This window comes from Homo sapiens, chromosome 6, assembly GCF_000001405.40.
Source record: "Homo sapiens chromosome 6, GRCh38.p14 Primary Assembly".
In the NCBI taxonomy this organism is placed as follows: domain Eukaryota; kingdom Metazoa; phylum Chordata; class Mammalia; order Primates; family Hominidae; genus Homo; species Homo sapiens.
Window position 1 is genome coordinate 96,557,195 of NC_000006.12, and position 15,679 is coordinate 96,572,873.

General features: G+C 36.5%; 1 protein-coding gene across 5 annotated transcripts in view; it reads left to right on the forward strand.

The window, feature by feature from the left end:
- Positions 1 to 5,379: 5,379 nt before the first annotated feature.
- The window catches only part of FHL5 (four and a half LIM domains 5), a 56,053-nt gene continuing 45,753 nt past the window's right edge, over positions 5,380 to 15,679 (forward strand). The window contains exons 1-2 of one of the 5 annotated variants that reach the window (NM_020482.6): positions 5,380 to 5,526; positions 5,931 to 6,161. The gene's annotated coding sequence lies outside the window, so the exon portion shown is untranslated. Of the gene's footprint in view, positions 5,527 to 5,930; positions 6,162 to 15,679 lie in introns of those variants that run through there. The other 4 variants (XM_047419567.1, NM_001170807.3, NM_001322467.1 and 1 more) reach the window with 4 other exon arrangements.

Below are 15,679 nucleotides of genomic sequence, written 5' to 3' on the forward strand. Positions count from 1 at the left end.
CCCATTGTCTTGGTGATTTAACATTTGGTTCCCTGTTACTTATGCAAGTTTCTGCAGCTGGCTTGAATTTCTCCTCAGAAAATGGGTTTTTCTTTTCTATCACATTGTCAGGCTGCAAATTTTCCAAACCTTTATGCTCTGCTTCCCTTATAAAACTGAATGTCTTTAATAGCACCCAAGTCACCTTGAATGCTTTGCTGCTTAGAAATTTCTTCCACCAGATACCCTAAATCATCTCTCTCAAGTTCAAAGTTCCACAGATCTCTAGGGCAGGGGAGAGATGCCACCAGTTTCTTTGCTAAAACATAACGAGAGTCACCTTTGCTCCAGTTCCCAACAAGTTCCTCATCTCCATCTGAGATCACCTCAACCTGGACTTTATTGTCCATATTGCTCTCAGCATTTTGGGCAAAGCTATTCAAGTCTCTAGGAAGTTTCAAACTTGCCCACATTTTCCTGTCTTCTTCTGAGCCCTCCAAACTCTTCCAACCTCTGCCTGCTACCCAGTTCCAAAGTCACTTCCACATTTTCAGGTATCTTTTCAGCTGCACCCAACTCTACTGGTACTAATTTACCATTTTCATGCTGCTGATAAAGACATACTCAAGACTGGGCAATTTACAAAAGAAAGAGGTTTATTGGACTTACAGTTCCACATGGCTCGGGAGGCCTCACAATCATGGCAGAAGGTGAAAAGCGCATCTCACATGGCGGTGGACAAGAGAATTTGTGCAGGGAAACGCCCCTTTTTAAAACCATCAGATCTCCTGAGACTCATTCACTATCACAGGAACAGCACAGAAAAGACCTGCCCCCACATTTCAATCACCTCCCACCAGGTTCCTCCCATGACACATGGGAAATATGGGAGTTACAATTCAAGATGAGATTTGGGTGGAGGCACAGCCAAACCATTTCACAGAAACAAATGGGATTTTTTCTATCAAGAAGTAACTGATGTGAGTTGGGAGGGAGTAAGAGGATGGAAGATTTACTTTCTTTCACTAAGACCAATGAAGAATTTCCCCCAATACATGGGAGATGTAATAAATGCACACACAAAACTCCCCTGGGATGTACATTTTCCACACAAATCTGGGAGCACTGTTCAAGTGGCTATTTAAATGACCTGCAAATTCACACAAGTTGCTCTATCTTGAGGACCCTACTAAGCGTACAACAGAATAAATAGATCCAGGAGAGGCTTCTTTCAAACCTTCTAAGAATGAAACTGACTTTCAGGCTTTCAGAAAAACAATTTGTATTACACTTACATCATAAAAAAGAAGGAATAACCACTGTAAACATGTATTCAATGTTTATAAGTTCCCAGTGTTGTATTATTTGTTTTATCAAACTTGCCCCTAGTTGCATCTCTATTTCTCTGAAGTGATTAGTAGTAAGACAATCTGGGTGTTTGTTTTAAGGAGCAGGAAAGACAGGATTACATTGATGGTGAAATGGAGGAAAGGGAGAACATGGTGAATTTATGGACTTGGCCTAATTTACTCGATCGTGTATGACAGCTAAATACTAGGAAGGCACATATCAACTTTAAAGGTATGTTTTACTTTCAAAGAAATAACAAGTCAATAATTACAGTTAAATATAGTGTCTTGGTAAAAGTACACAGAGGGTGTTGTGACAAGAAATGAAATTTAGACTGTGTTGCACAATGGGGAGGCTGGAAATAACACCTGAACCAAGAGTCCAGAGAGAAAAAAAGAAGGATTAGCCTTGGTGAAAATGAGAGAAGGGAAGGAGAGCATATTAAGGCAGAGAAAAGGAGGTACAGAAGTACTATGACGCTAATTAGAATGAAATAATGAGATGTGGGGAGCCAAGAAGTCTGAGAAATATAATAACTGATCTGGGGAAGTAGTGTAAGATAAAGTAGAGAGAATAGGGGGGTTTTGAAATGCCTTAAACACTAAGCTACAAAGTTCAACCACTATCTCAAAAACATGGAAGCCTTTAAAAGATTCAACTAACCAGGGAAATTAAGTAATTACATTTGTCTTCTAAAAAAATTACATTCTGGAAAGCAATTTGGCAATTTACCAAAATTCTTTAAAATGTACATATTATTCGTGAAATTAATGTCTTCCTTTTCTGAGAATTAAAATGACTAAAAAATGTATACGAGTCTTTTTTCCCAGCCTCTAGTAGAGAGGAACATGGACACCTTCTCTTGCACAGAAACAGGCCAATCTTGGCTCTGAAATAGTCTATTCAGATACTAGTCTGCCAAAGAAAAACTGCGATCTGACTAGTCAACCTAAGACAAAAGTCTCAAAGGTTGTCTCATGTTTTGTGTTACTCAATGTAAAGAAGTAAAAGTGCTTTGTCAAACTGTTTTACTACTGAGCCTGTCTTTACTCATCTAAAATGCAGTCCTTAACCTAATTCTATCATACAGACTTCAGAGTTGGGTAAGAACTTGAAGACTTGACACATAGAACATATTGTTGTTTAAATACAACCTAATAAATGTAAATGTACTTAAAGTCAATGTTCTAGATTTTTCTCCTTTCCTCTTTTCAGTCTTAATCTCAGTCCTGTGATTTGTATGTTTTAAATGCTGAGTGTATCTTTTGGTGTTGAAAAAAGAGAGAAAAAAAAGGAGAGCTATTCCATTATGTATTTTATTACATAGCAACTATTTGTTATAGCCACTTTAAAAATATTTTATTGGCTTGTCCATCAGTGAATGACTGGATAAAGAAAATGTGGCACATCTACACCATGGAATACTATGCAGCCATAAAAAAGGATGAGTTTGTGTCCTTTGCAGGGACATGGATGAAGCTGGAAACCATCATTCTCAGCAAAGTAACACAAGAAGAGAAAACCAAACACCACATGTTCTTACTGATAAATGGGAGTTGAACAATGAGAACACATGGACACAGGGAGGGGAACACCACGCACCGGGGCCTGTTGTAGGGTGAGGGGCTGGGGGAGGGATAGTATTAGGAGAAATATCTAATGTAAATGATGAGTTGATGGGTGCAGCAAACCAACATGGCACATGTATACATATGTAACAAACCTGTATGTTGTGCACATGTACCCCAGAACTTAAAGTATAATAATAAAATAAAAAATATTTTATTGGCTTGGAAAATTACAGTATATTAAGTGAAAACAAGGATACAGATTTATAATGGGGTTCAGGATGCACTACGCTAAAATATGGCACCTTGGTGTTTGAGAAAACTCCAGAAGCAGGAAGATCATTCCCACCTTCCCTTTACCCTTCTCTCCCGAGGCAGGTCATAAGACCCTCATTCAAGAGACCTCCCTATGCCTGGAAGAAAGGAACACAAAGAAGAGTCTAAACAAACAGGCCTTGCTAAGTTCCCCCGAGTGTATAATCATTAGACTATATCCCCTTTGTCCAGTCATACTTTTCCATGACTATCCACTCTTCATCAAATCTAAGCATAAAAATACACACGTTTATCTCTTGCTTTGAGTCTTCATTTCTGAAAGGCTCCCATGTCCCATAAAAACTTACATTAAATAATTTGTATACTTTTATTAATTTGCCTTTTTTTATAGGGGCCTCAACCATAAACCTAGTAATGGAAAAGAAAAATATCTCGCACTTTCTACAAGTATATACAATGTGGTCTTGGTTTTCTAACTAAATATACTGCATAACTATGTTATGCAATATATTTACAAAAAATTTTAGCATTTCTCTGTATCATTAATATATGAATGATACAAAGCCTAAAGAGGTACACAAAGATTTGGTCTGGGCTGTCTTGGATTGCAAATCATTTTACATTTTACATTTTCTGTATATGTTTTCCAGTTTCTGTTCCAGATTATCTGCAAGAAGCATGTATTTTATAATTTAACAAACTTATTTAAAAATAATATTTTTCTATAGAGAAGGATAGAAAGGGATCAGGCTGAGGCAGATGCCAGTTATTTTATGGCTGACAGAATAATCTGAGTGAGACATGTGAGACATGGAATGCAGGGGTGAGGACAAATTTGAGAAAGATCATTTAACAAACTAGAACCTACAGAAGGTGGACAATGATGGGGATGGTGGAGGATAAATGAGGAAAGGGAATACTCTAACATAAGGGGTGGATGATTGTGCCATTCCCTGAAGTAGGAAATACAGCAAACTAACAAGTTTGGAATGGGGAGAAGACAATAAGGATATTTGGGACTGTTGAGTTTGAGATGGCTGGGGACCCCTAGACAAGGTTTTCTAATAGATAGCGGGATACAGGTCTGGAACCTTGAAGAGTGGTATCAGATGAAAGTACACATTTGGGAGTCATGTTGTATAAAATTGTTCATTGTTTTGATGAAGAACGTGATGGAAAGTCTGCAGAGAAGCATACTGAACAGAAGATAAAGCTCTAGGGAAGAGTGAGGTGAATAGAGAGAAAGTGAGGGTGCTAAGAGCAAACAGAAAATCAGAAGGGTGTAACATAGCAAAACCAAGGGAAGATAATTTCAGAAAGAAATAGACATGGCCAGAGATGAGAATTTTTCGGTAAGACTGAAGACCATACTCTTTGGGTTGCTAATCAAGGTTGTATATGATCTTAATGAAGCTTTTTTGGAGCGGTTCAAGTGAAAGACAGATTGCAATAAGTTGGGAGGGAGAAGAAGGCTCAGAATGTAGTAGGTTTGGAATGACTTGGTGGATGTAGATTACCCTCTCAGGAAGCATGGGAGCAAATAAAGAGGGTGATGGTCCCAGGCACTTTTACATCTCAAGGACTGCTTTCCTTGCCCATAAAACAAGGAAAATACAGGCAGTACCTGTTTAGCAATGGTGTCCTAAGGATTAAAATCTATTACTAATGAAATATACTTGTGTCCTTTTGCTGAATCCAAATTTATTGTTGTTAGTCGCCATATGTTCATTTTCATAATGTCTTAATCATTAAAGTCAAGTGAATAACAAAACATACAGTTAACTGGCTCTGCATTTCTCTAGCTCAAGTTCTTTGACTGTATATACCCGAGTTTGACCTTAGAAGATATTAACATTTCATTCCTTTAGCAGTTAGAACAAGGACAGTTTAAGTTTGGTCTGGGATTAAGGCAGAATTTCTTCTCTCATCCTGCCTTCCAAACTGAAGAAATGGCCTCAAATGGAGATTCTAAGAGAAAATGTCACTTGCCTTATGAATCAGTGTGCCCCACTGAGGATACCTATTATGGATTGGTTTAATATCCAAAAATTTCTTCAGATCCAACTCTTGACATCTCTGTCCACTTTTTGTGTTTTGAAGATTTCAAAAGACTCAATGAGTTTATGCTTTATGAAGTCATAGAGCCATGGATGTGATGTCACAATTGTGGCCAGCTCACCAGGAAGCAGGCAGAGCGGGGAAGGCTGAGTCCACACTGCAAGTCCAGAGAGCAGGGAACTACCTTGAGTATTCTACTCAAACTTATGTCTCAGAGTTCCCCAATTTCCCAAGAAGGGAGAGATAGAGGCCACAATCCAGGGGGCCATCTCTTAAGGTACCAATAATTTTGCAGGTAAGAGCATGGGACCTCATCCCTTTCCAGATGGCCTCAAAAGGAGATTCTAAGAGACAATGTCCAAAAGAAAAGCTCAGCGGTTCAGACATTTCTAACCTAAAAGAAGGGTTCTGATCACCACCAGAAAACAAAGAAAACAAAGCCAAAAACAGATTGAGGAAACAGAAAATACATCATCCTTTTAGAGTATTATTTTTATAAATATGCCCTTAATTTAGCCTAGTTAGTGGAAATTTCTCAAGTGTGTATGCGTCTGTGTGAACATTGTGTATTTTAAACTTTTTGGAGCTTAGCCAGATACTTCGAATGCTAATCCTGGCAGAATTTCCCTTTAAGGATGTCCTGCAGAGAATTTGTTACTCATAGTTTTAAGTAAAAATTGACAAATAGTGCTTTTTCAGCCCAGTAGGAGTCATGTACACGGTATAAGACTTGGAGGAAATGCAGGGACCCTTCTGTTTTCTCCTGCAAAGTTGAAAAAGCTGCATGCAGTTGGAAGGGATCTTCAGATGGTGCTGGTGACTTTCTGTTCCTTTTGGAGTTGACATGCATGTGGATTGGAGGAAAAATAATCAACATATATTCTCCTTTCGTACTGTTTAAATCACAGGAAGAAGCGGCTTTAAGACAAAGTGAGTTCTTTCCCCCAAATATTTCCTTTGTTTTGTTTTGTGGTATTTTGACTTCTCTAATTTTTTTTTAAGGATGAGAAATTTTTATAAACTTTCCAGTAACTACTTAAGAGAAAACTTTTGCTTGGCAAAAGTGTATGCCTTTTGAAGTTTCTTAGCCATTTTAGCTAAAGGTTATCAAATTTTATATGCTGAGCTTTTCAGATTTCTCATTCTTATAACTTGCATGTGGAGGTAACATAGGGGCCAGATAACTCCTTGGAATTGCCTCTTGAGTTTTTCTAATGGTCTTAATGTGGGGTATAGCTTTATTGTTGTAAAAAGAGGAAGAAGAGGAGGGCTCTTGAGATTTTATTTGGCTTAATTTATTTGAATGAATAACATTATCACTGAGCATATTTTATGACTAGATTTATATTTCAAGAGCACATTTTGAAGTCACTTACAGGTTTTAAGTAAAAGGAGTTAATGAGATTCCTGCTATTTTCAAGAAAAATCTGCCTACTTTCCAGAAGTGGGCATACAAAAATTCATAATCTTTAATTTTCTAAGGTTAAATTAAAATATCTGTGTTTCCAGCCCACAGAAATATATAATAGACTATATCAATCTAAAGTGCTACTTCTTGAAACAGAGGTAGTGTTATTCAGGCAAAAAGCATACATCCCATATGTGTTAATGCTTTCTCTCTCACTATTTTAGTCATATCCTCTTTGGTACCTATCATTCATTTGAAAACCAAATGCAGCTCCTCAGCTGTCATTTCAGACTTTAGAAAATTGGAAACTAAAAAGAATTATTAACAAAATGCATAGCTCTCATACATAAAATGTAAGGAAATCCTTGAGCCATTTTAGCCCTCATTTTATATCCACAATACCATCATGTGTAAATACTAGCATTTTTATTAGCAAAGCATATGGATTAAAATTTAACATAGGTATTGCAAACATATGTATCATACAAGATATTTCTTAACATATGTGTTATGATATATGCTTTAAGCCATAATCCAAATTGCTTTAAGGGGAAGGTAAACTCTAGTGTCTGTTTTCTACACTTGTTCTATTTATTCTCACATTATTATTAGTTGCCAAATCTGGGACTGTTCTACCTAAGCAAGAGTAGTAGATTTGTGTTTTAATATAACACCACCTCACTGACAAATTTACCTCTTATTTTTATTACACTTACCAACATTTTGAGTAAAGCTGAATTAATCTGTGTTTCTTACATAAGACTGGGTACTTTTCTACTATAATATTACAAATAAGAGTTTAGAAAATTTAGAGATTTAGAGAATATTTAGAGACAGATATTTAATTTGTCTGTTTTTATTTTTTCAATCGAGGGAACATGATCTCTTTAGAAATGAAAGCTGAATACTTGGGTTCGCATGGGAAGCTCTGAATCAGATATTAGTTAAACCAGCTTGCATTTCCTTGTTCTTGTAATTATCTTTTTCCTCTCCAATTACCATAATTTTTCTTGGTTACTTTTTGGTACCCTGAAAGCTCATTGAAGGAGAGGAAGAGAAGAAAGAGGTAGAGGAAGAGGAGGAGAAGGAGGACTCCTTTTTGCCCAACATGCCTCAAATCCCTGCAAAATAATCAGCTTGAGGCCAGGCACGGTGGCTCACTTCTGTAATCCTAGCTTTGGGAGGCCAAGGTCGTGGGGATCACTTGAGCCCAGGGTTCAAGACCAGCTGGGGCAATATAGGGAGACTCTATTTAAAATAAAAATAAATAATCAGCTTATTGATGACATACCCTAGTATTTTATATGAACTAGTAAAACATTCTTATGGGTTTGGGTTTACCTTATCCTCACCATATGTCTAAACTTTCACATGGGCTAATTACCCTGATTAGAACATACTAGGATATGTCAACAGCAAGGTTTACATTCATTAAATAAATAAAGCTAGAGAGTCTCTTTGAAAACAATAGTGTGATGTGGAGAACAGAGTCAAGGTTTTGAAGTGTCATTCATACTGAGTTTTCTATGAATGAGGGCAAGTGAGTTTGCCTCCCTACCTTAAAGATATAATTAAAACAGCTGTGTTATAGAATTTTATATTAGAATAATAATAACAGTAGTCATTTTTATTTTTTGTCTTCTCAAATTCTTCGGTTATACTTCCAGCACCAATGGACCTTAAATTTATCTCACTTGATTTTTAGCAAAGCTTTGAGCGATTCCTTTGCATATTCATTTTGCCAAAGGAATACTCACCAAATGGATCCTGAGTAGATTATTTTGATATATTCAGGTTGTCTCCTCCCATTTAAAAATATACCTTTTTGTATTTTTCCAATATCATTGCAATTATAATGCTCTAAAGATGGTGGTGTGGAAGTGGAGTGGAGAAATATGCTTCTTGGGCTTGTTCTCCAGCTTGATTTTGTTTAACTATCTCTTACAATTATTCATAAAACAATTTAAGTAACATGTCATAAGTCACATGACTTCTAAGATTTTTTTCTTCTTAAATTTTTTCTTTTTTGCTTTTATTAGTATTACTATAGACATGTAACTGTACATATCCATCAGGTACAATGTGATATTTGTATACATGTATATGACAAATTATCAAATCAGGGTAAATAGCATATTTATTACCTTATTTTTCATTTCTTTGTGTTGGGAACATTTACAATCCACTCTTCTAGCTATTTGAAAATATACAATAAATTGCTAATTATAGTTACCCTATAGTGCTATAGAACACTCAAACTTATTCCTCCTATCTAGCTGTATTTTGTATTTCTTAACCTACCTTTGGCTATCTCTTTCTTCCCCCTACCCTTTTCTGCTTCCAGTAAGCACTATTCTGCTCTCTCCTTCTATGAGATTGACTTTTTTAGCTTCTTCATATTCATGAGGACATGCAGTATTTATCTTTCTGTGTCTAGCTTATTTCACTTAAAATAATGTCCTCCAAGCTCATTCATGTTGCCGTGAATGACAGAAATTTGTTCTTTTTTACAACTAAATAATACTTCATTGGGATATATAGCACTTTTTTTAATCCATTCGCCTATTGATGGAAACTTAGGTAATTTCATATCTTGGCTATGTGTTGTGAGTAGTGCTGCAATAAACATGGGAATACAGATATCTCTTTAACATACTGATTTCCTTTCCTTTGGATATATACCCAGTAGTGGGATTGTTGGATCATACGGTAGTTCTATTTTTAATTTTTTGAGGAACCTTCAAACTGTTTTCCATAATGGGCATATATATGCATATATTCCAAATAACATATAAGAGTTTGTGTTTCACCAAATCCTTGTCAGCATTTTTTTTTTGTCTCCTTGGTAATAGCCATTCTAACTGGGGTGAGATTATATCTTCTTGCGGTTTTGATTTGCATTACCCTGATGATTAATGACATTGACCATTTTTTGTACCTACCTGTTGGCCATTTGTATGTCTTCTTTAGAGAGATGTCTATTCAGCTTATTTGTCTGCTTTCTAATGTGATTTTTTATTTGCTATTGAGCTCATTTTATATTATGAATATTAAACTCTTGTCAGATGAATAGTTTGCAAATACTTTCTCCTGTCCTGCAGGTTGTCTTTTTTCTCTGTTGACTGTTTCCTTTGCTGCGCAGAAGCTTTTTAGTTTGACATAATTTCATTTGTCTATTTTTGCTTTGGTTGTCTGTGCTATTGAGGTCTTATCCATGAAATTTTTGCTCACACCAATACCCTGAAGTATTTCCCCTATGTTTGCTTCTAGTTGCTTCATAGATTCAGGTCTTATATTTAAGTTTTTAATCCATTTTGAGTTGATTTTTACATGTTATGTGAGGTAGAAATACAGTTTCATTTTTCTGCATATGAATATTCAGTTTTCCCAGCATCATTTTTCAAAGAGACTGTTCCTTCCCCATTAAATGTTCTTGGCAGCTTTGTTGAAAATCATTTGGCTGTAAATATGTGAATTTATTTCTGGGTTCTCTATTATGCTCCATTGTTCTATGTCTCTATTCATATGCCAATATCATGCTATCCGGGTTACTATAGTTTTGAAATATATTTTGAAGTTCAAAATGTGATTTCTCCGGCTTTGTTCATTTTGCTCAGGATTGCTTTGGCTATTCAGGGTCTTTTGTGGTTTCATATAAATTGTAGGAGTTTTTTTCTGTTTCTGTGAAGAACATCACTGGTATTTTGATAACATTGCATTGAATTGGTAGATCACTTTTAGTAGTATTGTATTAATTTTTACAATATTAATGTCTACAATTCATGAACATGAGATATCTTTCCATTTTTTGTGTCTTCTTCAATTTTTTTTATCAGTGTTTTGCAGTTTTTATTGTAGAGATCTTTCACCTCCTTGGTTAAATATATTCCTACATGGCTTTTTTTGTAGCTATTATAAATGCAATTTGTTTCTTGATTTTTTTTCCACTAGTTTGTTTTTGGTGTATAGAAAAGCTACTGGTTTTTGTATTCTTTTTTTTTTTTTTTTTGTATCCTCCAACTTTACTGAATCTGTTTATCAGTTCTGAGATTTTTGGTGGAGCTTTTATGATTTTCTATATAGAAGCTCTTGTTATTTGCAAATGAGGACAATTTGACCTCCTTTTCAATTTAGATGCTCCTTATCTCTTTCTCTAGCCTAAGTGCTCTGCCTAGGGCTTCCAGTACTCTTTTGAATAAAAGTGAGATGATTGTCTTCCAAATCTTAGAAGAAAAGCTTTAAACTTTTCTCCATTCAGTGTGATATTGGCTGTGGGTTTGTCATACATGGCTTTAATTATGTGGAAGTACATTCCTTCTATACCTAACTTGTTGAGAATTTTTATCATGAGGGGATGTTGAATTTTTCTCAAATACATTTTCTCTATCTCTTGAGATGATCAAATTGTTTTTGCCCTTCATTTTGTTGATGTAATGTATCACATTTATTCATTTGTATATTACATCCCTGAGGTAAATCTTACCTACATGGTGAATAATCTCTTTAATGTGCTGCCAGATTGGTTCACAAGTATTTTGTTGAGGATTTTTGCATCTATGCTCATCATGTTCATTGGCTTATAGTTTTCTTTTTTTGTTGTTGCATCCTTGACTAGTTTTGGTATCAAGGTAACACTGGCCTCATAGAATGAGTTTTAAAGAATTCCCTTATCTTCAATTTCTGGAAGAATTTGAGGAGAATTTGTATTAGTTCTTCTATAAATCTTTGGTAGAATTCCAGAGTGAAGCTGTCATATTCTGAGCTTCTTTTTGATAAGAGACTTTTTATTACAGACTTAATGCCATTACTTGTAATTGGTCTGTTCAGGTGTTCTCTTTCTTGTTGGTTCACTTCTGATAGATTGTTTGTGTCCAGGAATTTACCTATTTCTGTCAGGTCTTCTAAAGTTTTTGGTATATAGCTGTTTATAATAGTCTCTGATAATTTTTTGTATTTCTATGGTATTAGTTGTAATGTCTCCTTTTCATTCCTGATTTTATTGGGACCTTTACGTTTTTCTTGGGTAGTCAAGCCAATGGAATGTTGATTTTGTTTATCTTTTCAAAAAAATTCAGCTTTCCATTTTGTTGATATTTTGTATTTTTTAGTCTTAATTTTATTTATGTATGCTTTTCTTTCTTTCCTTCTAATTTTGGGCTTGGTTTACTCTGCTTTTCTAGTTTCTTGAAGTGCATCATGAGCTTGTTTATTTGATATCTTTCTACTTTTTTGATATAGGTGTTTGTTGCTGCACACTTACCTTCTAATACTGCTTTTGCTATACCCCAGATGTTTTGGTATTTTGTGTTTCTATTTTCATTTGTTTGAAGATATTTTAAAATCTTCCTCTTAATTTCTTCATTGACTAATTTGTTATTCAGGAACATGTTGTATAATTTCTATGTATTTGTACAATTTTTAAAGTTCCTCGTTATTTTGATTTCTAGTTTTATTATATTGTGGTCAAAAATTGATATGATTTCTATTAAATTTGTTAAGATTTGTTTTGTGGTCTAACGTGGTCTATGCTAAAGAATGTTTCATTTTCTAATGAAAAGAATATGTATTTTGCAGCTGTTGAATGAAATGTTCTGTAAATGTCTGGTAGGTTCATTTGGTCTAAAGTGCAGTTTAAATTAAATGTTTCTTTGTTAATTTTCTGCCTGAATGATCTGTCCAATGCTGAGGGGTGTTGAAGTCCCCAGCTATAATTGTACTGAAATCTATTTCTCCTTTGGGTTTAATTATTTGCTTTATAAATCTGGATGTTGTGGTATTGGATGTGTGTATGTTTACAATTGTTACATCTTCTTGCTGAAGTGAAAATAACCTTGTCTCTTTTTGTTTAAAGTCTGCTTTACCTGATATAAGTATAGCTATTCTCCCTTGCTTTTGGTTTCCATTTGTATGGATTTTTTTTCCATCCCTTATTTTTATTCTATATGTGTCTTTTTAGGTGAAGTGAGTTTCTTTTAGGCAGCATATACTTAGGTCTTTTTTTTTTTTAATTCATTCAGCTAGTCTATATCTTTTCAGTTGGGAATTTAGTCTGTTTACAGCCAAGGTTATTATTGATAAGTGAGGACTTAACATCCACCATTTTGTTGTTTTCCTGTTGTCTTGTATATCTTTTGTTCCTTTCTTTTTCTCTTATAGTTAATCATTGTGGTTTGGTGGTTTTCTGTAGTGACAAGGTTTGATTCTTTTCTCTTTCTCCTCATATATCTGCTCTACCAATGAGCTTTATACTTTTGGTGTGTTTTCATGACAGTGATTTTCACTTCCAGATGTAAGTGAAAATCACTTAAGCATTTCTGGTAAGGCCAGGTGAGTGGTGACAAATTCCTTCAGTTTTTGCTTACCTCGAGAAGGCTTTATTTCTTCCTAATTTCTGAAGGATAACTTTGCTGGGTATAGTATTCTTAGCTAGCAATTTTTTTTCTTCTTTCACCATTTTGAGTTTATAACTCTATTCTCTCCTCGCCTGTGAGGTTTCTGTAGCAAAATTTACTAGTCTAATGCAGTTCTCTTATGTGACTTGACAATTTTCTCTTGCTGTTTTTAGAACTCTCTGTCTTTGACTTGTGACAATTTGCCTATAATGTACCTCTAAGAGGACCTTTTTGGGGTTGAATCTATTTGGGGAATTTTGAGTTTCCTGGAGCTGGATGTTCAAATATCCCTCCTCCACAACCCCCACCACTAAATTGGGAAGTTTTCAGTTATTATTTTATTAAACAGGCTTTCTATACTTTTTCCTTATCTTCTCCTTCTGGAAATTCCATAATACAAATATCTGTTTGTTTAATGTTTTCCAATAAGTCTTATAGGAATTCTTCACTCATTTTCATTCTTATTTCTTTTTTCTTTTCTCTGACTGGGTAACTTCAAAAGACCTAGCTTTAAGTTCAGAGATTCTTTTTTCTGCTTGATCAAGTCTGCTGCTGAAGCTCTCTATTGTATTTTATATTTTATTCATTGAATTCTTCAACTGCAGGATTCTTGTTTTGTTCTTTTTATGATTTTTATCTCTTTATTGAATTTTTCATTTATATTGTGAATTTTTTTCTTATTTTATTTAATTGTGTATCTGTGTTTCCTTGTATCTAATTGAGTTTCCTTACAATCATTATTTTACATTTTTTTGGCAATTAATTGATTTCCTTTTAATTGGAGTCTGTTACTAGAGAGTTATTATATTCCTTTGTTGGTCTCTTATTTCCTTGCTTTTTCATGTTTCTTGTGTCCCTGCATTGATGTCTGTGTATCTAGTGAAATAATCACCTTTTTCAAACTTTCTGGAGTGATTTTCATAAAGAAAGTCTTTCATCCTGCAGTTGAGTTTTACTGTGCAGTTAGAAAAGGTGTAGTGACTCTGTTTCCAGATAGGTATAGAGATAGAGTCTCTGTGCAGCTTCTTCAGTTGTATTCAAGGTCAGGAATAACTGTGGGTGCCTCATAGCCTACGCTTAGAGGTTTGTGGCAATGGCACTGGCAACATAAGTTTTTAATGTTCTTTGTGTTAAGGGCTTCTGGGGTCCTCCTATTCTGGTTTTCTCTAAAATAAGGAGACTTAGCTGAGCGCATCCCTTTTGGTGTCAAGTCTGACATGGCCTACAAGCAGCTGCAGTGGCATGGGTTCTACGTGCAGTGATCAGGATTCTACATGCAGTAGGAGTTTTCAGCTCAGTATCTCATAAAGCTATTGAGGCAACTGGGCTTGGGGTGCAGCTTCACCCCTTGTGGCAGGGTTGGATGTAGGTTACCCATAGAGCCAGGATCTATGATTCTGAGGGACCCCCTAGCAGCTCAGGCTCAGGGTGCCAGGTTGTAGCTGTGATTCTACCCCTGGGGGGCAGGGCACAGCACTGGCCTGACTCCAGGGAATAAGGAGTGCTCTGGAACTTTGGCCTTGGGAGCAGGGTATGGCTGCAATTCAGAAACCTGAGTCAATAGGGCTCAGTGTCAACTCAGGTTCCAAGGGATGAGGCACTGGGTAGTAGTGATTGTAGACCCTGGGATAGTGGTGCTCAGCAGTATCCCAGAATGTGTGGGGCCAAGTGTATTTGCTTTCAGTACTCCAGAATGGTGGAGGACAGCTGTTGTTTGTTCCCTGGGTGACAGGTGGGTAGGAAAAAACACAGCAATGACTCCACTCCCTAGATAGAGGGGTACTTCTGCATCTGAGACTCTAGAGAGCTAGGCCAGTGCTGGGGAATCGAAGTCTAAAATTGTTCAGTTTATAGAGCAAGGTGTCTCAGCTCAGTTTCTGCTCAGCTCAGCCAGAGCACTAATTCCCCAAGGGACAATGTGCCACTTCAGCTCAGGCTTGAAGGATGTGACTGTTCTGGGCTGCACAAGCACTGTTTTCTTGGGATGCGGGGCATCAGTTCAGCTTAAGTAATGGAGTGCATGACTGCTCTGGATGGCCAAGGCACAATTTCCTAGGATGCAGGGCACCACTTCAACTTAGACACCAGGGAGACATGACTGCTCTGAATAGCCAAGGTACTGTTTTCCCAAGAGACAGGATGCTGCTTCAGCAGGGGCAGGGGGAGGAGTTGGTAGAGCAATTCCACCTCCACTTGACCCCACAGGAAAAAGTGTTAACAGCTGTTAACAGCACATATTGGGGATGTGGGGCTCTGGGGATGGGGTGGTTCAGGGGTGGTTTAGTCTCAGGGATGAAGGGGAGCCATGACTACTTACTCCTTGAGTAAGGCTCAGTCTAGCTGTAGTTCCTGTTCCAAGATGCCATAGCCAATAGTCACATGGGCCACAGCAGGTGGGGCACAGTGTCAACTCCTTCTCTGGCTAAGCACAGCTATATAGACTCCAGGCAGCTTCACCATGTGGGCTTGGTGCCTAAGAAGACTGCAGAGAACACCAGTGGGAAGGTCTGTTGGTGTCCAGGGTGTTGATGGAGATTGTTGGAGTCATCCTGCTTACCTCCTCACCATAAGAAGTTCCTCCTGGCTTCCAGCTGATCCCACTTGGGGGATGGGATGGTGAAGGCCTGGCATTTCCTTATTCTCTATGT